The following is a 25,932-nucleotide window of genomic DNA, read 5'->3' on the forward strand; positions in this document are numbered from 1 at the left end:
GGAGGTGAGGAGCGTCTCTGCCCGGCCGCCCCGTCTGAGAAGTGAGGAGCCCCTCCACCCGGAAGCCGCCCCGTCTGAGAAGTGAGGAACGTCACCACCCGGCAGCCACCCCGTCCAGGAAGGAGGTGGGGGTCACCCACCGCCAGGCCAGCCGCCCCGTCCAGGAGGGAGGTGCGGGGGTCAGCTCCCCACCCGGCCAGCCGCCCCGTCCGGGAGGGAGGTGGGGGGGTCAGCCCCCCGCCCGGCCAGCCGCCCCCTCTGGGAGGTGGGGGGCGCCTCTGCCCGGCCGCCCCTACTGGGAAGTGAGGAGCCCCTCTGCCCGGCCAGCCGCCCCGTCCGGGAGGGAGGTGGGGGGGTCAGCCCTCTACCCTGCCAGCCGCCCCATCCGGGAGGGAGGTGGGGGTGTCAGCCCCCTGCCCGGCCAGCCGCCCCGTCCGGGAGGTGAGGGGCGCCTCTGCCCGGCCACCCCTACTGGGAAGTGAGGAGCCCCTCTGCCCGGCCAGCCGCCCCGTCTGGGAGGTGGGGGTGCCTCTGCCCGGCCGCCCCTACTGGGAGGTGAGGAGCCCCTCTGCCCGGCCAGCCGCCCCGTCCGGGAGGGAGGTGGGGGGGTCAGCCCCCTGCCCGGCCAGCCGCCCCGTCCGGGAGGTGAGGGGCGCCTCTGCCCGGCCACCCCTACTGGGAAGTGAGGAGCTCCTCTGCCCGGCCACCACCCCGTCTGGGAGGTGTGCCCGGCAGCTCAATGAGAACGGGCCATGATGACAATGGCGGTTTTGTGGAGTAGAAAGTGGGGAGAGGTGGGGAAAAGAGTGAGAAATCGGATGGTTGCCGTGTTTGTGTAGTAGGAGGTAGACATGGGAGACTTTTCATTTTGTTCTGTACTAAGAAAAATTCTTCTGCCTTGGGATCCTGTTGATCTGTGACCTTACCCCCAACCCTGTGCTCTCTGAAACATGTGCTGTGTCCACTCAGGGTTAAATGGATTAAGGGCGGTGCAAGATGTGCTTTGTTAAACAGATGCTTGAAGGCAGCATGCTCGTTGAGAGTCATCACCACTCCCTAATCTCAAGTACCCAGGGACACAAACACTGCGGAAGGCCGCAGGGTCCTCTGCCTAGGAAAACCAGAGACCTTTGTTCACTTGTTTATCTGCTGACCTTCCCTCCACTATTGTCCTGTGACCCTGCCAAATCCCCCTCTGTGAGAAACACCCAAGAATGATCAATAAAAAATAAATTAATTTAAAAAAAAAAAAAGATGAATGATGGTAATCCTTGCCTTGCCCTATAGGTAAGATAACGTCTGGCTTGGGGGCGGGGTGTTGTGATTATGCCTCTGCAATCTGTCATCAGATGCACTCTCACACCCAAACTTTGATGTGATTTTGAACGCCCTGAATCTTCACCACCTGTATATAAACTGTGAATGGGAATACTGCATTGCAGAAGCAACTCTGACAGCGCTGTTCCCAGCCTATAGGCCTCTGTCTATAGCCCTCAGCAAGATTTCTGAATAGAACTAACTTTAATTCATTAAGGTGGCCAGGCAAGGTGTCTCATGCCTGTAATCCCAGCACTTTGGGAGGCCGAGGCGGGCAGATCACTTGAGGTCAGGAGTTTGAGACCAGTCTGGCCAATATGGCAAAACCTCGTTTCTCCAACAAAAAAAAAAAAGATACAAAAATTAGCTGGGCATGGTGGTGCACGCCTGTAGACCCAGCTACTCAGGAGGCTGGGCAGGAGAATCACTTGAACCCGGGAGGTGGAGGCTGCGGTGCGTCGAGATGGCACCACTACACTCCAGCCTGGGCAACGGAGCAAGACTCCATCTCAAGAAAAAAAAAAATTAAGAGGCTCAATTCTTTTTTCTTTAGTCAACATAGGCAAAGGAACACTTTGATGAGACGGGAGATACAGTGGGAGCCATCAGCCTCACTTTCTTACTCTAGTCACCAAGTGGTGCTCATCCAAAGGGGAGGAAATGGGGGATGCGGCCACTCAGGTTGCACTGCTGAGGAGTGTTGGAGCTGGGATGCTGCCTGACTCAAGAGAGAGATGGAGCCACAGACACATGGAGGCAAACTGAAGAAAGACAGATAAAGGAGGCAGCTTTTCAGGAATGCGACCCCGGGGTTGGGGAAGGTGGAGAAGAAGGGAGGGAAAACTTGAGGCCTTGCACTCAGCTTTGACAACAACCTCATTCAACCACTAGATGTCACCAAACACAAAACCCGTTAGAAACGGAGAAATGAAGCCAAGGAATCTTGATCCCAAAGAATTCCTGGACTCAGCCCTGGAAAAGTCTTAAAGCTAAGGAATGTGGCATGCAGATCACTCTAGGTAAAGCAGGACTGACTTTTATAACTGTCACCAAAGGAGACGCCACATCTCTGGTGTCCTGGCGCCTGCATCTCAAACACACAGCATCTTAGTTAATTCTCAGAACATGCCCGGCAGGGCAGGACCACCACTATCCCCATTTCACAGGTGGGAGCACTGAGGGCCCAAGAGGTTGTTACCTCCTCAAGTCCACACAGCTAGGAAGGGGCTGAACTAGGATTGCAGCCAGGACTCTCTGACTTTCCACCTGGGCTCTTTCATCTATACCATGACATCTATCCCAGGGACATGACCCGCTACCACCATTACAGAAACACCACAGCCACAGGTTCCAAGGCAGACCAGGGCATTTCTTTAGTTCATTAAACTCCATTATTCTAATATAATTACTCCTTGATTTTACAGCAGCAAATTATAATAGCCAGTAGTGGAGAACAGTAACCTGGATTGCCAGAAACAGCAGAAGGTTTTGGTTTGGGTTTGTTTTTTCACTTTTGACGTTTATTGTATAGGTTGCACTTCATTTGGGGGAGTCCGAGGGGGAGTGTTTTGTGTGGTTTTAAATCAACCTATTTAGCTTCTCAATGTCATTGGGCATTGGATAAAGATCTGAGTGTATATGTTGTCTGATACAGAAAGTGAGTGAGAATGTAGGTAGAAAAAAGAAAAACAGCACATGAAGAGATGTAGAAAGCTCAGCTAAGCTCAAACTCTCCCAGTGAAACACCAAAAGTACAGGGACAACAGTAGTTTGGAATGAAGCATTGCTCCTCATACAGCAGAAGAGAAACTGGAACATCCTAACATCAGCACCAAAGCAGTTTTCCATGTCCTCATTCCCTCATTCATGCATTCATTCAAATATTTACCAGGAGCCACAAACGTGACCAAAACATGCCCTTGCCTTTACAACTGCTCCCTGTGGTAGAGGAGACCTCTAAGCGAATAATCAGAATACAACACACTTAGTGTTATATCTGAGATACACACAAGGTGCTACTGGACAGATAAAACAGGGAAGGAAAAAGAAGACGTTAAACATGGGTTTAAAAGATGAATAGAAGTTCAAGTACAGAAGGGCAGCCAGGCAACAGGAATGAGAAGTGCAAGAGCACAGCATGGAGCAAAAGGGCAGGAGAAGGTCACAGGATGGCAAAAGTTTTCATGCATGTGAGGGACTGGGAAACTTGTAGGGTTTGGGAAGGTGGAGCAGGAAGAGGCAGGAAGGGTAGGCAGGGGCTAGATACAGAGCCACAGGCCCCTGAGCACTTGCGATGTGCTGGTCTGAACTGAGATGTGCTGTGGGTGTAAAATACACACCGATTTTGAAGACTCAGTGGGAGCAAATAAAGTAAAATACCTCATTAATATTTTTACATTGTTTGGCTGTTGAAATGATAATATTTGGGTTATACTGAGCTAAATAAAATATATTATTAAAATTAACTTCACTCATTTGTTTTGACTTTGTTAGTGTGGCTGCTAGAAAATTTAAGATGACATATATGGCTTACAATCACCTCCACTGGGCAGTGCTGGGCTCATTCAAGCATGAGAACATCGGATTCCATCATAGGGGTCTTGGGGCTCATCTGGTAGCAACAGGGAGTCACCAGAAATTCCAGAGCAAAGGAGCAATTCAGTCCGCTGAAGGTTTAGGAACACCTTCAGTGGCTTCAGGTTGGTGGGGTAAAGCAGTGGTCGGGGAAGGCACTCTGGGGGACATTAAGCTTCCTAAGTCAGGAATGTTTAGGTCTGAATAAAGCAGAGAAGGAAAATGTGGGAGAGCTATTTAAGAGAAGAGAAAATAATTGACAAATCAAAATCAGATTATTACACTACAAAACCATCACAGGATTCAATTACAGTCCTTTGTGGGGAAATGCCTCCTCCTCCATCCCCCCCACGTCCCCAACTCCCACCAGATCACATAGTGTAACCTTCCTGGCTGATGTAACACACAAAGCTGAAAAGATAGTTTTCAGGACACAGGAAAAGCAAGTGGCAATGCTTAAGAGAAGAACTTACTCCTCTTTCCTTGTTAAGGATCCAGGAGGCAAACCTAACCCCGCTGGGCCCCAGACAGCAATTCCTAACAGTGTGCTCTTTTATACCTTCCTTCAAGGCTGCTGACAGGAAAGGCCGTTGCCAAGGAAACAGGCTGAGCCAGGAAGCTGACTGGAGCAAACACAGACAGTCTCACGGCCGCTCTGTGGACAGAGCGGACCAGTTGGTAAATATTTCACCAGGCACATACCAGAGACGCAAAGCAAACAGTATGTCATCCCAGCGCTGGGCTGGAATCGTTCCACGAGGAAATGTTGAACTCAGAAGCTGTGCAGCTTCGTTCCCATGTTACAAAGGATGACCTCCCAATATGACAGGGCTTACAGTGGGGCATTGGGACACTTTGCTAGAGTGGGATTATAGCACTCTATATGTGCGAGTTCCACATCTGCGGATTCAACCAAATGAAAAATATTCTCCAAAAAATGTACAAATAATACGAATTGTAAAGTACATTAAATAAATAAAATATAAACTAACTACGTAGCATTTACATTGTATTAGGTATTATAAGTAATCTAAAGTACATAGGTTACAGGCAAATATGCTATTTTACATAAAGGACTTGAGCAGGAGCAGTTTTTGGTATCCGCAATGGCCCTGGAACCAATCCCCTTTGACTGTACTGAGCATCTCCCAGCACAGAGGCTATCAGTGCTGGTGGCAAAAGAGATGTCAAGGTACTCTGGAGAAAAGTAGAAAATCAGTGGGCAAGCTACTTCTCCTTCATGGCAGCCTCAATTTTGCTTACCTTTAAAATGGGTATAATCTTTTAAAGATTATGTAATAGGATGAGCATTCAATGGAATAAAATAGTTTAATAAATAAGATAAATGTGTAGTCGCCTCAATAAATGTTAGTTTCACTTTCCGCTCCAGTGTGTAACATCTAGAATTAAAGATATTCTGTGTACAGTTTGAATGCCAACTATTTAGATACAACACTTCTATTAAGTAAGCCTAAGTCTGTCTTAGCTTCCTCAGTATATAACACTGAATACAACCACAGAGGGATTCTTTTTGCTTTGTATCTTTTACGTGAATGGCAGGTAAGTCACATCTCCTGGATTTTTTACTGATGTAATTGATGATCTGGGCTCAAGTCCTGAACATGCAAACCATTCCAGTGAATTCCATTTTATTAGATTGAAGCCATAGCTCTAGCCTAGCAAGATCACTTGAAAGCTGTCCTCTGTCCTCAGGGAGCTTCATGTCTGGGGCAGTGGTTTTTAAAACGTGGTCTCTTGACCTCAGAATTAACTGAGGTGATTGGTTAAAAAGGTGAGTTTTCAGTCTTCATCTTAGACCTATTGAATCAGAACATCTGGAGGCAGGTCCCAGAAACTTGCAATTTTAGCAAACTTTCCAGTTTACACTCATGCACAATAAAGTTTGAAAAATCAATTTTCTTCATTATTTCTGCATTTTAGAAATTGGTCCTTGGACCACCTGCATTTGATGCCTGTTGAAATGCAGGTTTCTGAACATCATCCACATGTAAGGAATCATAGTCTCTGGACTCAAGAACCTGCCTGTGTAACAAACTCTCCAGTTGATTCTTACTCACACTAAAAGCTGAGAACCAATGGCCTAGTGAATCGTAAAGAAATACTCCTCAAACTTGGCATTGGTGTGCATAGGAAGTGCCTGGAGAGCTTGTTAAAGCAGAGATCGCTGAGCCCACCTCCAGAAAATCTGACTCACTAGGTTTGGGGAGGGATCCAAGAACTTATATTTCTAACAAGCTCCCAGCTGATGGAAATGCTGCTGATCCACAGATCACACTATGGGCAGTTGTGGTGTTAAACTCATAATAGTCTATATAGTTTTAAAAATACACCCATATCTAAAGAATCTATACAAATCCTATTGAAACAAAAATGGCCATGCCTTATTGTAACCTGGGAAAGGTTTGTGTATGCATGTGGTAAAATACACATAACATAAAATTTACCATTTTAACCATTTTAAAGTAGACAATTCAGTGGGCATTTAATACATACACAATGCGGAGCCACCATCACTACTGTCTAGTCCCAGAATTGTTTATCTCCCCAAAAGGAGACTCCATACTCATTCAGTAGCCACTCCCCATTCCTGCTTCCCCTCAGTCTCTGGCGACCACTAATCTGATTTTTCTCTCTATTAATTTGTCTTTTCTGGATATTCCACATAAATGAAATCATACAATATATGGCCTTTGGCATATGGCTTCTTTCACTTAGCAAAATGTTTTCAAGGTTCATCCATGTTGTAGAATGAACCAGTGATTTATTCTAGATCACCTTTTGTTTATCCATTCATCAGCTGATAGATGTAGGTTATTTCCACCTCTTGACTACTGTTAATAGTGCTGCCATAAACAATAGTGTGCAAGTTTTTGTTTGAACATCTGTTATCAATTCTTGGGGGTATACGCTTAGGAGTGAAATCACTAGGTCACATAATAAGTTTGTGTTTAACTTATTGAGGAATTGTCAAATTGTTTTCCACAGCAGGCTATACCATTTTACATTTTAGTCAGCAATGTATTAGGGTTCCAATTTCTCCACATACTCACCATCACTTGTGATTTTCCTTTTTTTATTATGACCATCCCAGTGAGTGTGAAGTATCATCTCATTGCAGTTTTGATTTTTATTTCCTCAGTGACTAATAACATTGGGAATCTGTTCACACCCTTACCGGCCATTTGTGGATCTGCTACGGAGAAATATCTATTCAGGAACTTTGACCATTTTTTAATTGGGTAATTTGTCTTTTTTGTTGTTGAGTTGTAAGTTAGTTATATATCCCTGATACTAACCCCTTATCAGATATGTGATTTATACATATTTTATAAATATTTACATAATTTTAAATAATCTATTTAAAATAAAATATTTTTAAATAATCTATTTAAAATAAAATATTTTTAAATAATCTATTTAAAAGAAAATATTTTTAAATAATCTATTTAAAAGAAAATATTTTTAAATAATCTATTTAAAAGAAAATATTTTTAAATAATCTATTTAAAAGAAAATATTTTTAAATAATCTATTTAAAAGAAAATATTTTAACTTCAAATAATCTATTTAAAATAAAATATTTTAACTTCAAATAATCTATTTAAAATAAAATATTTTAACTTTAAATAATCTATTTAAAATAAACTATTTTAACTTTAAATCATCTATTTAAAATAAAATATTTTACTTTAAATCATCTATTTAAAATAAAATATTTTAGATAGGTAAAATATTTGTAAATATTTTATCCCGTTGTCTTTTCACTGTCCTGATAGACCATACCTTTTTGAAGATTAATTAAATTCCAAGGCAATGACAGTTCTACAAAAGTTCATAACTGGCAAAGACTTGGAATCCGTGCTGTCAAAGTCTCTCAGAAAAAAAAAACTGAGGCCCAGAGAGCTACAGAGGCTGTTTCAGGGTCTCATGGGAACTCCCCAGCACTGGAAGGGCTTAGAGAACATTCAGTCCACTTCCCCAACACACAGTAAGCACATGCAAACACATACACACATATGATGCCATTTTATGTCTCGGATATTAAAGGCACTTGAAATACACTCTTAGAAAGTTGCCTCTTTTTAGAAGTCAAGGTGTAATGCATCTGCAGAGGTTAATGCATTCAAAGTTAGACTTTCAGCACTAGACAGTATTCCATTAAAAATCTAATGTCAGAGCTTACAAAGAGAAAGCAAAATAGGTACTCAGGGTGGATCTGGAATTTCTTCGATATTGGACATTTCCTTTAATTCAGAACCTATTTCTAAATTAGAGGTATACATTTATTACCTACTAGTGAAATGGGTTAATAACCACAAAGCAAGTGTCTCAAATGCAAACAATGACAAGGGCAAGGAAGTAACACCGAATGTCAAATCCAAAGGAGTGAAAGGTGATAGGCTTACAGTGTTTGTTTTACGATTAAGTGTATGATGAGTTCATGTCCTTTGTAGGGATGTGGATGAAATTGGAAATCATCATTCTCAGTAAACTATCGCAAGAACAAAAAACCAAACACCGCATTTTCTCACTCATAGGTGGGAATTGAACAATGAGAACACATGGACACAGGAAGGGGAACATCACACCCTGGGGACTGTTGTGGGGTGGGGGGAGATGGGGGAGGGATAGCATTGGGAGATATACCTAATGCTAGATGACGAGTTAGTGGGTGCAGCGCACCAGCATGGCACATGTATACATATGTAACTAACCTGCACATTGTGCACATGTACCCTAAAACTTAAAGTATCATAATAATAAAAAATAATAATAATAAAAAAATTAAAGAAAAAATACAGAAAAAAAAAGTGTAAATTCTGCTTTGCTATGTCGCCACTTAAAACACTGAACAGACCAAACAAAAAGGCAAATGAAACACTTCCACGGGCTGTGACAGCCCTCATCCAAGCCACCAGTTTATGATTCTTATGTAAAGTGCCCCTCCTTCATTTTAAATTTAACTAAGTATCTCAGTTCATGACCCTTTCCAATCCAGAGAAGCAAAGATGAACAAAACAAAGTAAACATAATCAAGCACTGAACGAGTGTCTGTTATTTGCCTGGGCCTGGTCCATCTGCTAAACCCAAAGATTAGAAGTGGCAAAACAGTAGAATCAGGTATTGCCACAGCTGTGATGCCTGACAGAATAGTATCAGCCTCACAGGAGCAACAATTAACTAAAAATTTTTTGTACATGTATACCCTATTTATTTCTCCGAAGAGCTTTGGGGGATCCTACAATAAGGAGTATAATAAGATTAATAGGAATAGAAAATTCAGGAAAAGGAAAAAGTGAGAAAGGAAATATGAAGCATAATAGTAGAGATGACTTAGAATCTATGAGTAGCATCAAATTTGACTATGAGCTTCCTAGCAGCCAGGGGGAAAAAAGGAGATACTATGTAATTATTAGTATTAGGACTATGATTCTTAAATCCTTAAAAAAGAAAATATTTTAAAAATGGCAAATTCCCAAAGAACATTCTCAAATGGCTAAAATGACTCCTAATGATTTAAACATAAGGATTTGATAAGTTTTTCTGAAAACTGCCAGCCTACTATTAATGCTTTTCGCTAATGTTTTGCAGTAGGAAAGCCCCACGCCAACTCAGAAAGCTACATACATGCTGTAACTAAGAGAAAATGACATATTAGGAGTTTAATGGGAAGGACTTGGAGGGCTCACACATTCAGCTGCACACATCCCTGGTAGGGCCATCATCAACATCAAAATAGTCCATACTATACATCTCTGGGAGTGGAATAATTCCAGTGTTAGATAGCTTTCCAGGGAAAGAAAATGGATACAGCCCAAGTCCAAAAACCATTAACAACTCCTTTTTTGGGGAGGAAGAACTGTATCTAGACATGGAAAAGATAAATCCCTGGGGAAAAAAAATCCAGTTATACGTCTCCTGTAAGATGATGTATCCTGAAGCAATAGACTCTTCTGTCACCAAGCGTATTAGTCTGTTCCCATGATGCTAATAAAGACATACCCAAGACTGGGTAATTTATAAAGAAAAGAGGTTTAATTGACTCACAGTTCCACATGGCTGGGGAGGCCTCACAATCATGGTGGAAGGCAAGGGAGGAGCAAAGTCACATCTTACATGGTGGCAGACAAGGGAGCTTGTGTAGGGGAACTTCCCTTTATAAAACCATCAGATCTCATGAGACTTATTCACTATCATGAGAATAGCATGGGAAAGACCTGCCCCCATTATTCAATGACCTCCCACTGAGTCCCTCCCATGACACGTGGGAATTATGGGAGCTACAGTTCAAGATGAGATTTGGGTGGGGACACAGACAAACCATATCACCAAGGCTTGGTGAAGTAGCAAAGAAAGAGGCTTTCTTCAAGAGGAGATTGCTGACTGTCTTAGTTAACAAATCCAGCATACCCTGCGGTGCCAGGAAAAATGTAAAGCAAATGTATGTGAAGGTGAGAAATAGAAAGTGGAAGATTAGAAAAAAGGAGAAGTGATTGTGGTCAAACTAATTTCTCCATTCCATTCAATGTCTATAGATACCTATATGTTCTGAGATTAGAGTTATCAAGTCATAAGATGTAACAGATTAATCATTGTGTTCATTAAGAATTTTTTGTAGTAGGCAACCAGAAATTGACTCAAGTTAAGCATAGAAAGAATTTGTTGAAAGGTATTGGAGTGACATATAATAGAATCAAAGGAAAACTAAAAGGAAAAGAAAGCCTCAAGAATCCAGAAACCAGAGCATCTGTGAGCATCTACATAGCAAGAACTCCTGCCCAGTCACTTTAGGATATCCCTCAGCTCAAGAGTTAAATTCCAAGGAGGGAGAGCCTGATTATTCCAGCTTGGGTCACAAGTCCATTCTCTGGCATTTCATCTTAACCAATGGTTATGAATCAGCAGTCATTTTGCTCCTTAGGAGACACTTGGCATTGTCTGAGGACATTGTTGGTTGTCACAACCAGGGGGCATCAGTGGATTTCACAACCAAGGATGCTGCTAAATATCCTACAGCTCACAAGGCATCCCCCTGCAACAAAGAATCCACCCCAAATGTCAGTAGTGTCAAAGTTGGGAACCCCTGATCCTGACTGATGAGTCCAAAAGGAACACAAAAGAGGCATTTCCTCAATGGAAAACTGAGGTATGCAGTGGTCACATCTTCTGCCCACTCCACCCAGATTCCCTGGAATCCCTTTGACCATTTCTCTTCCCCTCCCACAGCTTTGTCTCTACCAGTAACTAACACCAATGTTCTTCAAAGAATAGTCCTGGGCTGCTGGAGCCATTGGCAAGCTCAGAGAGCTGAGAATGCCTGGGTGTTTATACCCACATGGGAGACCCATGGTGGGGGAACAGGAAAACTCAGCCCTTTTGCCTCAAGTCAGGTGTCATTCACACTCCGGAGCTCCCATAGGATGGGGCTGAGGCTGGGACTGCTTAAATGGCACCCTTGCTCAGCATCTCCCTCGCCTCAGCCCTACTTCCTCACTGCCTTACCAGTTTCTTCCAGGAACACTCTCTTAATAACTCATTTGTACCCAAATCCCCACTCAGGATGTGCTTTGGGGGAACCCGGCCTAAGATAAGGTGCTATTGCCAAAAAAAAAGTGGGAGGATTGCTGTATAGTCAAAAACAATAGCAAACCACTATAATCATATGAACTCTCCTGCCTGGGTTTCCTGTTCTCCCCTCACTATATAAAAAGGTGAAAGATAGAAGTCATGCTCTTATTTAGATGCAGCGACCAGGAAATGCTCCAGCAATCTCGTATCCAGAATTAGACCTCCACAAGCCGAACCAGAGACATAAGGCTCCAAGACAGAATCAAACAAGTTGATGCTTTCTGATTATTAATAACAGGTTGACTCTTTCTAATCACTGATGACACAAACAGCAAAATCACTTCCAGCACTGAGCATCAGACTTCATCTCTGTGGATGGCTGGAGAGGCAGCCACCTCATCCAGGCAGGAAGAAAAGATTATTCATAGAGGAAGAATTATGATGCGTAGTCACAAAAATGAGATGGAGAACGGCACAAGAGAACCCGAAGTATCAACCCCTGGGGAGTTGAATTGCTAGTTCCTTGTGAAAATTCAAGCAGCTGAAATGCAAGGTTTAGATGAATGCCTTATGAATGAAATATAAGAGATTACTAGTCTGCAGATAAGAAAATTAGACGTTTGCAAGCGGCACAGAAGAGCAAAGGAAGTAAGCAATCTTTACAGATCGGCAAACAAAGTCCTTCAAGTGGATTGAAATCAAACAAAGGATATTAAAAGACACCTAAAATAGGGGCAGAAAACTGACCTCAACTCTGTTGCCTGTCAGGTAATGCCATTAGGGGTTTTAAGTAAGATTGAGGATGCACTCTTCTAAGGCTATGGAACTGTCCAACACAGTAGCCACTGGCCCCAGTGAGATGTCTAAATTTAAATTGTTTGAAATAAAACAAAATCCATAATTCAGTTGTTCTATTCCCAGCTCAGTGACTTATTTCGGCCGGTCTTATCCATCTGTGGACCTCAAAATCCCAAGTGGTAAAGAAGGGGCTGACAGAAGGTCTGCAAGATCTCTTCCAGCTCGGGGGTGTTCTTGATTCTGTGGCCAGTCTTGGAAAACCGCTCAGAAGGAATCATCTTAAAATGATCAATAAAGCTTGCATACCTAAAAATTCAAAATGCGTGTGTCCCAGTAGACCAAGAACTCTACTTCCCAGATCCTCCTTCAGGAAAGGATTTGCTACCTCTAGCTCTTGGCTTTTTGGGCTCTGCCTCGGATGCAGAGAGCCATTCCACACAAGGTCATGGCCTCCTGGGAGCAGCCTATATCCAGTGACTGAACAAGGTGGGGGTATAAAGGCCTGGCCATTCTGTACCACAGGAGAAAGCTCTAACAGGCAGTACCAGTTCCTAAGCCCTCCACTGGGTTGAAGGTCTTTGTGGGGCATGCATAACAGTTCAGCTTCTCCTCTGCCCAGCCCTTCTTCTTCCCCACGCTTTCATTGGTGTTGATCACTAACAAACGTTCAGGGTCTGCTTCCAGAAAACCCAATCTGTATCAGTGTGGTCAACGGGAGGTGGCTTGGCAAGGCTGAGCAAATAGAATAAAAGGATTCTGTGGAGAATTGATGATATAACAACAATTAATAGCAATTGTAATAGTGAACAATTATATGATACTAACAATATCCAGGCGCTCTTCGTGTACTTTACACATGTTAACTCTAATGCTCATCCAACCCAATAAATTAAGTGCCATCATTATAAACAGGAAACCAAGGTACGCCGAGGCCAAACAATGGGCCTACAGTCCCACAGCTAGGATACAACACAGCAGGACCCAAATCCCGGCAGGCTGGCTCTGTGGTACTCCCTCTCCTTCTCAATGTGTCAGTGGCGACCCAGAGCTGTTCACAGTCTGACTGGAACCCAAAGGTCACTGCTGCCCCCACACCCTGAGGCTCTTTGCTCCACTCTGGTCTGGCTTTACAGAAGGGGAGGCGGAGACAGACCTGGAAGAAGGTCTCTAATCATGTTCCACACTCTCAGGGCTGGAAGAAATTGCTCCAGTAGGCCCCATCCAGACCTCCACTTAGGTTTTTGTTCCTCTTCTCCCATCATCACAAAGCATAAACAGAGAATGCCTGGCGTGTCAGCTCTCTCTCTCTCTCTGTCTCTCATTCACATACACACACATCCATAATACACACACACATCAATAATACACACACACAGAGGATGTGAAGGGGGACTCTCTCTGACTTAGCACTTAAAATGTGCTGGGCCTTGTACTAAGAGATTTTCATATATTAAGTTATTTAGCCCTCACAAGAGATGTGGAAGCTGAGACTGAGAGAGGTTAAGCCACTTTCCCAAGGCCATAAAGATGGTACTGTCAGAGCAGGATTTCCACCTGAGCAGACTCCAGTGTCTGCTCTTGATCTCTGCTGACTCCAAGGCATCAAGGACCCCACCAGCACCTATGGAGATGCAGCCATCCCTGGCCAGCAGCCCCAGCTCCAGCCCCAGCACACCACCACCAGGGCAGGAGACTAAGGGGGTGTTGGACAAGAAGGAAGGAAAGAGGGAGGAAGATGGGGAGAGGGAAAGGAAGAAGACAAGGAGGGAAAGACAGAGACAGAGAGATGGTTGGAGTAGTTAGTCAGTGGTGCCTACGAGTAAGGGAACTACATCATCTGGTCATCCAGTCTGATATTTGCCTAGGCAATGGCTGAGATACTCCTTCCTTTTGCAGGGAGGAGAGAGAACCAAAGAGACAAATGGTTGCAGAGGGCTGGGAAGGGGGACAAGGACAAGTGAGTTTCCCACTGGTTAGAAGCATGCCAGTATCTAGTGTAAGCACTTGGCCTGTATTGACTCATGTAGTCCTCACAACAACTGGATGAAATAAGCAATCTATAATCTCCATTTTGCTGGTGAGAAAAGTGAGGTATTTGCCTACAATCATACAGCCAGTAAGTATACCCTTGAGCCTCATATTTATTTAGTCAATTGTTTTCAGTTTCCATGATCATGAATTACTATTGTAATACATAGTCCTGCAATGCTAGATTATGGAGGAATGAAAAGAACATGAGTCTATGAGTTAGGGGACCTGATTTCTGGTCCCACTTCTAACTCTTGCAAATTCTGATCTTGTGTGGGTTCTTTATCCCACTCAAAAAATGAGCTGATTGGATTAACTCAGGTGGTAGTGGTAGTAGAAGCCCCGGAAGTACCAGTAGTAGTAATAATCGAAGTAGTAGCTGTAATAGAAGAAACAATAGTAACAGAAAAGAAGTAATAACAGAAGTAGTAGCAGTTGAGTAGCAGTAGTAATAGAAGTAGTGGCAGGAGGAGGATTAGCAACATTAATATAAATAGCAGTAGAAGTTACTGTAGTAGTAGAAGAAGAAGAGAAAGAGGAGGAGAAGAAAAAAAGGAAGAGGAGGAAAAGAAAAAGAAGAAGATATAGTAGTAACAGTAGTGGTAGAAGAAGTAGAACTTATAGAAGAAATCACAGTAGTAATTGTGGTAGTCGCAGTAATAGACATAGTTGTAGTAGCAGCAGTGAAAACAGAATTAGTAGTAAAAGAAACGAAAGTAGTTAATAGATGAAGTTGTAATACTAGAAGTAGTAATAATAGTGATAGAAGAAGTCGTAATAGTATTAAAGGAAGTAGTTTTTAAAGAAGAAGAGGAGGACAAAGAGGTGGAGGAGGACTGAGAAAAAAACACCAACATCTGTGAAGACCTGTGATGTGCCAGATGCTGTGGAAAATGTGTTTTGTATACTCAGTCCTCACATCTCTCTTGTTAGCCAGCTACCTTCCATAATGCTCATTTCATAGATGGGCAAACTGAGATTCAGAGATGTCAACCTATGCAAAGGGGAGGTAGAGTCCAGACCTTGTCTTCCCACCACCCTGGCTGCCTCTCCAAGGCCACCCACACCATGCTCCACAGGGAGCAGCTGTGTTCTTTCAACTTTTACAATGCCCATTCCAAAAGTCTTGCTACACAAAATGATTTGACCCCCTTGTCCTCAGAATTAGAAGGAAACTCAGAATTAACTTCCCTCGGATAAAATCCTTTGTAAATATTTTCCATCTTTGCTTTATTTGAAAGATCGACATGAGACTGGTTGTCACCCAAAACTCTGTTGATATTTCCTTTTTAAAGAACATAACATACATTCTTGGGCTGGACTCAAACATTCTTACATTTTGTTTTTAAAAAAGAAACTATTTATGGAAAACCATAATTATTGGAAATGCAAGGTGGAAGCCCTGCATTCTTTCTTCCTCTGTGATAAAGGGCATAAAATGTCAGCTTTCTACCATTCTAGGAGAAATACTCCTCTCTCCAGCACCATTCCTAAGGACTGGCACAAAGTGTCATCGTAATAACCACTGAGAATGTTAATTGAATATTTGGTGTTTTGGGGGATGCTATGTGAAGCATTTTATGTGCATCTTTTCATTTAATTCTCATCATCTCCTTATGAGATAGGGTTGTCAACATCAGCCCCATTTTACAGATGGTGAAACTAAAGCTTATGGACTTTAAGAAAATCACACAAGTTCACCCTGTAAGTGACCAAAGTGGGCTCTTAAACACAGGTCTGTCTGAATCCAAACCAGAGTCCCCAGACTAACTTGGAGTAGCTGGAAGTTACCAACTAAGGGAATTTAAGTAACTCAACTCCAGAAGGAATGAAAACTTTAGATGGATGACTATTCAGCAACTGACCCACAAAAACACAGTCATGAGCGGTCACTGGAAATACCCGCCTAAGTAAGAGCTTGGAGTTGGAGGTGGGGGCTCTGTGAATATCTTCATGGCCATTCATTCATTGTATATTCAGCAAACATGTACTGCTCATCTCATGACAGACAAAACCCTAGGAATCAGGGACACAGCAGGAACCAAAACAGACACAGTCGCTGCCTTCCAGGAGATCACAGTTGAGAAGGGGACAGTCAGCAGACAATCGCGGTTGAATGGGATAAATGAAACACTAAGGTTTCATTTCAAAGGAACTGAGAAGGGGATAGGATACAGCCCCAGGGGGGAGAGGATACAGTCAAGAAAGTCTTCTTGGAGGAGATGCCACAAACTGATATTTGAAAGACAAACAGAAGTCAGCTGGGTAAATAAAGCTGGCTGTGGAAAGAGTCCTGGGCAGAGAGAATGGCACGCACAATGACTTGGGGAAAGAGAGGGCAAGGAAAGACTGGGGAACTGCAGGCCTTTGGTATGTACACTCTGATGCTGGAGAAGGAGGCCTCAGTCCTTTGTGGCTGGGTGACGTGAGCCACTCTAAGAGGCCTAAGTACCCTCATCCTGGCTCCAGCTCCAAGCTCACCCAGTCACCTTCTAGTTATCACTGGCTTCCAATGATGGGTTATCTACAGGGTAAGAAGGTTAAGACAGGAGCTAGAGTTCAAATGCAAATTAACAAATGGATTTTTCAACTCTCTCTTGCCCCTCTCAAATGAATTGGGTTTTACCACTGAGTGTCCCTGGTCACCTGAGTGTCCAAGCTCACACAGCACAAACGCGGACATAGGCATAGGGCATGACACCCTCACTCTGCATGGACCTTTTGACTGAGATAGATCATTTGCCTGGGGGTGCACGCCACAGCCAGTTCATGCAGCAGTGTTTACTGAGAATGTGTATCTGTTAAAACTCTTTCAATAATGACCAAGAAAAAAACCAATTCAAAGTATTAAGTAATAAGGAATTTATGATTTTATGCCCAGAGGACCCAGAGTTGGTTAATTCCATAGCTCAATGATGTCATCAAATACCAGATTTTTTTCCTACATTTTCTCTCTTCCTTTATCTTTCTATGGTTCCTGGTGTCTCATGTAGAGATAATATTCATTAGAAGAAAAGTGACTTCATCTGCCCTGATCTTATTCCCAAAAGTGCCCCCACCCCATTAGCTTTTCCCCCATACCTCATTTGCCAGAAATTAGTCACATGCCCCTTCCAATTTGTAAAAATGTGGTTAAGGAAATAAAGAGGATTGCTTGAACTGGATCCACTGTGGGGAATATAGAAAGTTTCACCATGCCTGACCCGCAGCTCTGTGGAGAAGGCAAAATTGAACAATTAGGGGCTCTCCCAGCCAAGAAAAGTAGGGGTTAAAAAATGGATAAGGAGGCTGAGGCGGGCGGATCACGAGGTCAGGAGATCGAGACCATCTTGGCTAACACAGTAAAACCCCGTCTCTACTAAAAATACAAAAAATTAGCTGGGCACGGTGGCAGGTGCCTGTAATCCCAGCTACTCCAGAGGCTGAGGAAGGAGAATGGCATGAACCCGGGAGGCGGAGCTTGCAGTGAGCCAAGATAGCACCACTGCAGTCTGGCCTGGGTGAAAGAGCGAGACTCCATCTCTAAAAAAAAAAAAAAAAAATGAATAAGGGTCATTTGTCTGGCATTCAGTAAGAGCTCAATAAATGTTTTCTGAATGAGGAAAGGAATAAGCAAGTTGGGATGGTTACAAGAGGCAAGGTACCGTAACAGGTATGGACATATGTTCAACACAACCCTCTGAGTTGAAGAAAATAGAAACTAAATTCAAACTTGTTTCAGAGAAGAATAAATGATACCTATTGAATCCTATAATTGGGAAGTCTAGGATTGTACCAGAGTCAGGTTTAGCAGGATCCAGTAATCCACATACTATTTTCAGGTATCCATGTCATCAACAGCAGCCTCCCAGGTCAACAGCCCTAAGGGTTGTTGGGTACTTTTCTTCCCCAGACTTCCAACCCAAGTTCCTGATGTGTAGCTCAATGGCCTGGTTCAGATGCACGAACTAGGGCTGTGAGGGGGCTGATTGGTCAGCCATGGAGTCACATGACCCCCATGGACAGGGGAAACAGGAAGAGGGTTTCTCAGAGCTCAGGAGCAGGTGAACTGGAGGCAGAGCAGGCACAGGGTGAGGGAGGGAGGAGAAGCTGAAGAGAGATGTGACTTGGCTCTTTGTCATTTTCCATTGTTTCCTCACAGCTCCTGCCTGGTTTTTCTTTGGCAGATAGGACACAACCAAGCAATCCACACATTTCCTAGTCATCTCTCTCTGGTAAACAGCAAAAATGCCTTCCGAGAATCATTCCAAACCAAGAGCTGGGTGGGTGGATGGAGAAAGACATTCACATCTAATTAATGGTAGCTGACAGTCATGAGATGATGTCAGTAGGAAAAACTTCCTTCAACCTAGGTTTAGGAAAGGACCACTTAGGAGACGATTAATGAAGTTTTATTCTTCATAGCCACAGTGAAAGTAAAGGGGAAACATAATTGGTGTCCTTTGGTTAAAAAGTGGCAATTTGCTCATTGGCAGTTTTGTTCAGATGGGAAGGGGTGGGGACCTGACCAGAGCAGAACAAATACGGCAGGCACGTTGTAATGACGCACAGCCGAAGTAGCATGCCAGGAAGGCCGTCTGTTTGGAAAAGGAGCTGAACTGAACACGTGAGTGGTTTTCATGTAATTCAGAACCCACAACTACTGCACTCATTTCAGAAGAATTTCCAAAAAGGGTTCCTCTTGAATGAGCCTATAGGAGGCATCAAACATCACATCCCCCTGGAGTGATCACATGACAAATATGAGAAAACATGCCATGTATCATCAGGATGTATTCTGTGGCCCAGTTTCCCCACCATAGGCCTTTGCCCTTGCTGGTCTCCCCACCTGGAATGCCCTTCTCTGTGATCTTTGCAGAGCTGGCTCATCCTCTGTCTTCACATCTCAGCTCAAATATCACCTTATCAGAGAGGCCTGACCCCATGATCTGCTTCACAGGACACTATTTGGTTTCTCAGCATATTCCTGAGTGATATATACTTGGTTTGTTGGCATGTTCCTAGACTCATTTACTTTATGGCTCAGGATGCCCCCTTAAGGGCAGATGCAGGTCCTATGTTGGTCACCAGTAGATGGCCAGTGCCTCACCAGTGACTGGCAGTGAAATATTTGTTGAAAAAATTAATTTTCTCTGGACCCTTCTTGCTAACACTGGGCCCACCGCAGATTCCTTGCATAGGCCCCAAACTCTTGCATTGGCTGTTCCATCTACCAGAAATCCAGGTCCTTACTCAACCTCACACCAAAGGACTACCTGATGAATCCCATTCATTCTTCAGGGCCAGTGTTACCTTCTTTCTGTAGCTTGCCTGGATCCCCAGCTCAGCCCAAGGCAGAGTATAACAGAAATAACCCAGGCCCTGAAGTCAGATAGACCTATGTTCAAACTTTGGCTCCAACACTTACTAGCTATGGATGCTTGGAAACATGTTTAGCTCTCGTAGCCTCAGTTTTCTCATCTGAAAAATGAGAATCATGATAGTACTAACACAGAATTTCTTTGAGAACTAAATGAGATCAAATGTATACAAAATGCCCAGTCCTGGCACCTCACATTATTGTTTTAGGATTCTAGCATCAACCATACTCATTTCTGGATGTATCTGTACCAATAGGCTGTGAGTTCTTCAAGAAGGGACTACTTGCTTCTTCTCTTTATGTTATCATGCCTTGCATTTTCTGTGGAGCATAGTAGGTACTCAATAAAAATGTGTCAAATTAAATTGGATATCATTACAACATTTCCCAGGAATTCAAGTGGCTTCTCTACCCCTTTTCCTTGACTTGCAGCTATCCAGAAAAAGCAAACCCACGTGGCTTGTGTCACAAGCAAAAATTTAAGAAGAAATATCATCCATGAGAAAATAATCACACCCCACGTTCCCACACCAAACCGAATTGTTTTCAGTCGAGTTCTAGTCTGTGCACTTTGCCCTTCTAACCAATGTTTATTAATATGAGGAATCAAGAGGTTACTAGGAGCAATCGCTCAAAACTGGCAGGAAACTAACATTTGGTTGGTATCTGTGTCTCTCTCTGGAATGGGTGCGTCTTCACGTTCCCTTCTCATGCTGAGGTTTGTTTTCCCCACATGTTGTTCAGAAAACACAAGACTTAATGCCCTAGCTTTTTGCTGCCTAAAACGGACAACCCTTCCCTTCTTCAGCCTCAGGGACTGTGTCAACTTTAAGGTCATGACCACAGGGCCACAGGGGAGCCAATCATGATAACAAAATATTATTTGCCTCCCTGGTTTCTGGTGCATTCAACAGGAGCCCTCAGCTCCGAGTCCCAAGACTCTACAAATTCCTGTTCCAACCCAAAACTTCACCACTCTCTAGGGCACTAATCATTTTATCAGAAACCTACGGTGGCTCCAGCATCTCATTCCAAGTTCTGACTATGCTTTATTTTTTTCCCAATATTATGAATGTTTAAAAACATGTTTTTATTGGAAAGATCTGTATGTCCTCATTAATCTTTTGGATCTCACTGGAGCCCCTTAACATGCCCCTTAAAATATCCATTAAAAAGTCAACCACAACTGTTTAAATAATTTTAATGCATACATTTAAAAAGAGGGCAATGAGATATGCACATCATTTAAAGATGGTGGTGGACGTTGGAAAGGGAAGTCGGTGATGGGCATGAGGTCACAGACTCGCCATTAGGGATCATTCTTCATTCAGCAAATTGTCATTTACTTGGAATATCTCCCTCATTCCATGGATTTTAGGCATACTTTCTTTTCAGTGGGAAAATGGAAGGAATAGATCATTGGGACCTTTCATTTTTCTCATTCCTATCATCTAAACACAAAGAAAGTGCCCTGTTTAGAAAATGCTGCTAAGTTGTGGCAGCCCAGGGATATTTCAAGCTTGCATTCTGGCCATTTCTCTCTGTTTTATATGGCTTCCTGCTCTCACATCCAATGAAAATAGCTCTTTCCATGGCAACACCACATAGAGATATCATGGCAAGACTGTGTTGTGGTTGCTATTTTTTTAAGCAATACTATTTATCTTGAAACTGCACCAATTTCTCCCCCTTTTTCTCTCATTCCACAATCACACCAGTGTTGGCAGTTCCTCTTGAGGGCATGTGAGGACACTTAGTCACCTTTACCAAAGGACTGTAGTTCTACTTCTTTAGTCCACCATACAACATTAGTTCTGTATGCTTGTCAAGTTTTTAACTTTGGGTGCTCAAGTTGAAGTTCTTGGTTTGATGTTCAAAGCCATTCACAATAGTCTTGACTGCTTCCATATTTTCATATACTAACACTGCCTGTATTATAACAATACTGAGCTGTTTAGCCTGTGACTCAAAGATACCTGGACCTTGTTGGCCAGGTTACCATTGCATTACAGTCAAATTTAATGTATCACCTTATTCCAAACACACACATGCTAACACACACAAACACACAAATACATAGACACACAAATCTATTCCCTATAGCATTTGGACAATGAAGTAAAATTTTGCTGAAGGTCTATGGAGAAGACTGAGGATGGGAATTGTACTATACATCCTTAGCCAAATGTGCCTTCAAAGTGCCTTTTATAACATTTCTTCAAAGTTCCTTTCCCTTTAATAATTGTTAAATGTATCTCTACCCCCAGCCCCTTTATCTCAAAACTGCTCTCCAGTTGAAGTTAACTCTTTCTCCCCACCTCTCCTCCAGTTCAAACATCCCACTGAACAAAATGAGAGCCAGGTCACCAGCTGAGAGGTTTCAGTGAAACCAGATCATTAGGTTGGCCTAATCATTCAGCAAAGATCATTAGGTTTGCCAATCAATCAATGATGGCTTGAATGAGTCCCAGGCTGGGGAGAGATGGGCATTCATGTCCACTTCATCCCATCATGTGAAATTTACAAATGTACTAGGCAGCTCTGGCTCCGTGAGTGCACATGCTGTTCTCTCTTCCTAGAATGCCCTTCCCTCATTGCTTATCTGATGAGACCTTTCAGGTTTTAAGATCCAGCTCAAGGATCAACACTTCTGAGAAATCTTGGGGATTTCAGACATGTTTCCTCATCCAAAGAAAAATATAAAAGTCCCGAGCTGGCCACTCTGACGTAGCACTGTTCATGACCCCTGGGTGTTTTACTTATTGACCATGTCTTTGCCTCACTTCTCCTTACCTTAAAAGGAAGGTCTTCTCATCTGAATCTCCAGAACCCAGCCCAGCACTGAGTATATACATATTGTATAACCAGTAAATGTTTGTCAGATGGAATTTTATTCTTACCACACATCCAGGAGTTAGGTGAAGCAGGTGTTATATAACAGGTATTGCTAGGCAAATTCTTTTTCCTTTCTGAGACACAGGTTATATTGTACGAATGCCCTAAGCACTATACATGCATTAATTCACTCAATTCATCACAAGAACCCTATGAAGTAAATGCTATTATCATCCTCATTTTACAGATGAGAAGGTTAGATTTCCCTTTGGTAAATTTTATTGTAGTTCAAAATACTTTTCACCCATCCTGGGGTGTCCCTACCTATAAGAGGATTGTATACCCAGGCATGGCTATGTGATTAGATTTGTACTAGGAAATCTAAAAAGGGATGTGTGTCATCCCCAAAGATTTAAGAACCAGCATGTGGTTGCCCTACTTCTTTCTCCTTTACCCTCTTAGATGCCTCTACTCCATCATCATGGATGCCAGAGTAAAAATGATATGGAAAAGAGGTACAACTGATCCATGTGGCCATAGAGCACAAGAAAGAAATAAACCTTTGTTTCTGTAAGCCACTGAGCTCTGGGCGTCATTTGTTATCTCAGCATAATCTAGCCTAAGCTGACTTATGAACTCCACAAATCTGGTCTTTTTTCAGTGTCCCCAGTGTCAATGAACGGATTAACATCCATTTATTCACACAAGTGATGAATCTGGAATTCATCTCTGGTGCCTCTTCTCCCTTCTCTAAAGGAAAAAAATACATATATCCAAGCCCTGTCAATGAAGCCTCCTAAATCTCCCTGGAATTGAATGTCTCCACTTCTCTCTTCAATACCTCCATCCTAGGCCAAGTCACCATCATCTCTCCCCTTGACTGTTGAAATGACATACCTGAACTCCCGAGCCCCATACTTCACCCACTTTTTTTGCTGCCCATACTATCCTCCACAGAAACTCTATTATAACAACAACATTGATAATGTTATTATGGTGTTTAGAAACATTTTGTGCTTTCTCATTGTTCTCATGCGCTGACAAGACCCTCCGGAACTGAGCCTACCTCTCCAATCTCTCTCTCTCTCTCTTTTTTTTGAGACAAAATCTCACTCTGTCACCCAGGCTGGGGTGCAGTGGTACGATCTCGGCTCACTGCAACCTCTGCCTCCCGGGTTCAAGCAATTCTCTCCTTCTGCCTCAGCCTCCCGAGTACCTGAGATTTCAGGTGCCCGCCACCACACCCAGCCAATTCTTTTGTATTTTTTAGTAGAGATGGGGTTTCACCATCTTGGCCAGGCTGGTCTTGAACTCCTGACCTCGTGATCCCCCCTTGACCTCCCAAAGTGCTGGGATTACAGGTGTGAGGGACCGTGCCCGTTCTCCAATCTCTTTTTATCCTATCCTCTCACTTGAACTCAATAACCCAGTCACTCTGATCTTCATCCCACTCTTAAGCCGTAGTATTTTTGACCTTTAGGCCTTGCACATGCTGTTGTACCTGGACTCCTATCTCCTCCCACCTTCATTCTCTATCTCACTACTCAAACCACACTTCCGAAGGAAGCCTTCCTTTGATCATAACCCCTATAATCTGAGTCAGACTTCCTTATTAAGTGCTTTCATAGAACCATGTACTTCTCTTTCATCATATTTTTCACAATTTCCAGTTGGATGCAATTATAGAATTGTTTTATTAAGCTGCCTCCTAGACCATAATCTTTGTGGTAATGGGAATCATGTCAAATTCATCTTTTTACCTGAACACCCAACCATTTCTGAAACATGGCAGATGCTCAAATAAGATTTGATGAATGAAAGAATGAATAAGTAAGTAAATGAAGACTCCTTCCATTTTGAGATTCTAGGGCTCCTTGTAAGGCTTGAAAAATAAACTGGCTTGCTCTCTCCCTTAAACGGGAATGAAAGACAACCCTTCCATTCACTTTGTTGGATCAAAAAATGCAAGGTACTACAGTAGTCCGATTTTTGTAAGTGTTTACAAAGGTACTTTTACATATCATCTCATCCACTTAGGCCCTCTGTCCATGCAGAAAAGAAGTTTTATACAGGATTGCTCTGAATACAGGCCTTAGACCTAAAGCAAATAACGTGAACATCGGTACTGAGAAGCAGGGCTGGGTCACTGCAAAGTTAACTTGGTCATGAACTAAAATGGACTGTTGTCTTTTGGAATGTGTACAGATGGTGACCAGAAATGGAGCACTGCCTGATATTTTCTCTCAACAACTGGCTAGGGCTTTGGTCATCCCAGGGGCATGGTCTGGGCAATTTCATTTAAACAGCCCCAGAAGCCCTCAGCAGGGCCTCTATGTTTTTCTAGGCCACTGGTAATGACATTGGCTGTACCACTGCTTTTACAGATGGTAGTCAGAGGCAGAAGGACTGGGCAAGCCGCCAAGGGATGCTCCATGAATGGCAAGGCTCTGTTTATTATTTCACAGAGTTCCAACCTGAGTTCTAGATCACAGCCTTGGCAAAGTTCACATCACAGAGAAGTTCAAGTGTGGCAGTGTGGTACAATGAAAAGAACCCAGTTCTGCCCAGTCTTTGGAGTTCAAATCCCAGCATTGGCCACTTACTAGTAAAGTAAATTTGGACACGTCACTGCATTTCTCTGAACCTTAGTATCTTCATCTGTCAAATGATGGACAGGGTGAGAATAATTCTTGCAACCTCAGGTACTCAACAAATGTCCACACCTTCTCTCCACCCCAATCTTTCTTCTAAGCATGTAGCAGAGTAAAATCCTCAGCTTTTGTCTAACTAAGAGACTGATTCTTTAAACCTCATACTTTTATCTTCATTTTAATGGAAAGGACCACATATTTCAGTTCCTTTAGATATGTGACAACTGGAAGTGAACTTTATAAAAAAAAATGGAACATTATGGAAATGACTAGATATTAATAAGTCTCCTTCTGTTGTAGAAGCAATAATATTAATATCTACCTTTCTAAAGTGCCTCCAAGGGGCCAAGCACTGGACTGGGTCATTTTCATTCCTACTACAAATTACCTATCTCTGCCTTGATTTGCTTCTACTGTAAAATAAGAATAATAATAATACCTTCATCATAGGGTTATTTAAGAGATTAAGTGAAATACTCTATGTTACACAGATTTGCTTAGTGCTCTATGCATATTAAGTGTTTGCTATATGCATATTAAATGTTCACTATATGGTAGACAGTTCTTTCATTCATGAGTTTTCTGGAGCCAACTCATAGTTTTTAGTTTTTTGAGGAATCACCACATGTTTTCTGCAATGGTTGACCTGATTTACATTTCCACCAACAGTGTATAAGCATTCATTTTTCTCTGAAACCTCACAAGCATCTGTAATTTTTTGACTGGCTTACAAGAGCAGATTTGTGTGCATTTCTTCCCAAGCCTGTGCTTACTGACATC

General features: G+C 42.8%; 1 long non-coding RNA gene across 1 annotated transcript in view, besides 2 other annotated features; it reads right to left on the minus strand.

The window, feature by feature from the left end:
• Positions 1 to 25,932, minus strand: part of LMCD1-AS1 (LMCD1 antisense RNA 1) — a 280,512-nt gene that overhangs the window by 218,850 nt on the left and 35,730 nt on the right. The gene's annotated exons all lie outside the window — the stretch shown is intronic.
• Positions 791 to 1,308: an enhancer, noted in NCBI's record as "NANOG-H3K27ac hESC enhancer chr3:8482473-8482990 (GRCh37/hg19 assembly coordinates)". NCBI's record gives its function as "activates a minimal SCP1, AML or CMV promoter by ChIP-STARR-seq in naive H9 embryonic stem cells {active_cell/tissue: H9 hESC(naive)}" and the evidence as "EXISTENCE:reporter gene assay evidence [ECO:0000049][PMID:30033119]".
• Positions 16,109 to 16,675: an enhancer, noted in NCBI's record as "OCT4-NANOG hESC enhancer chr3:8497791-8498357 (GRCh37/hg19 assembly coordinates)". NCBI's record gives its function as "activates a minimal SCP1, AML or CMV promoter by ChIP-STARR-seq in primed H9 embryonic stem cells {active_cell/tissue: H9 hESC(primed)}" and the evidence as "EXISTENCE:reporter gene assay evidence [ECO:0000049][PMID:30033119]".

This window comes from Homo sapiens, chromosome 3 (genome assembly GCF_000001405.40).
Source record: "Homo sapiens chromosome 3, GRCh38.p14 Primary Assembly".
Taxonomy (NCBI): Eukaryota; Metazoa; Chordata; class Mammalia; order Primates; family Hominidae; genus Homo; species Homo sapiens.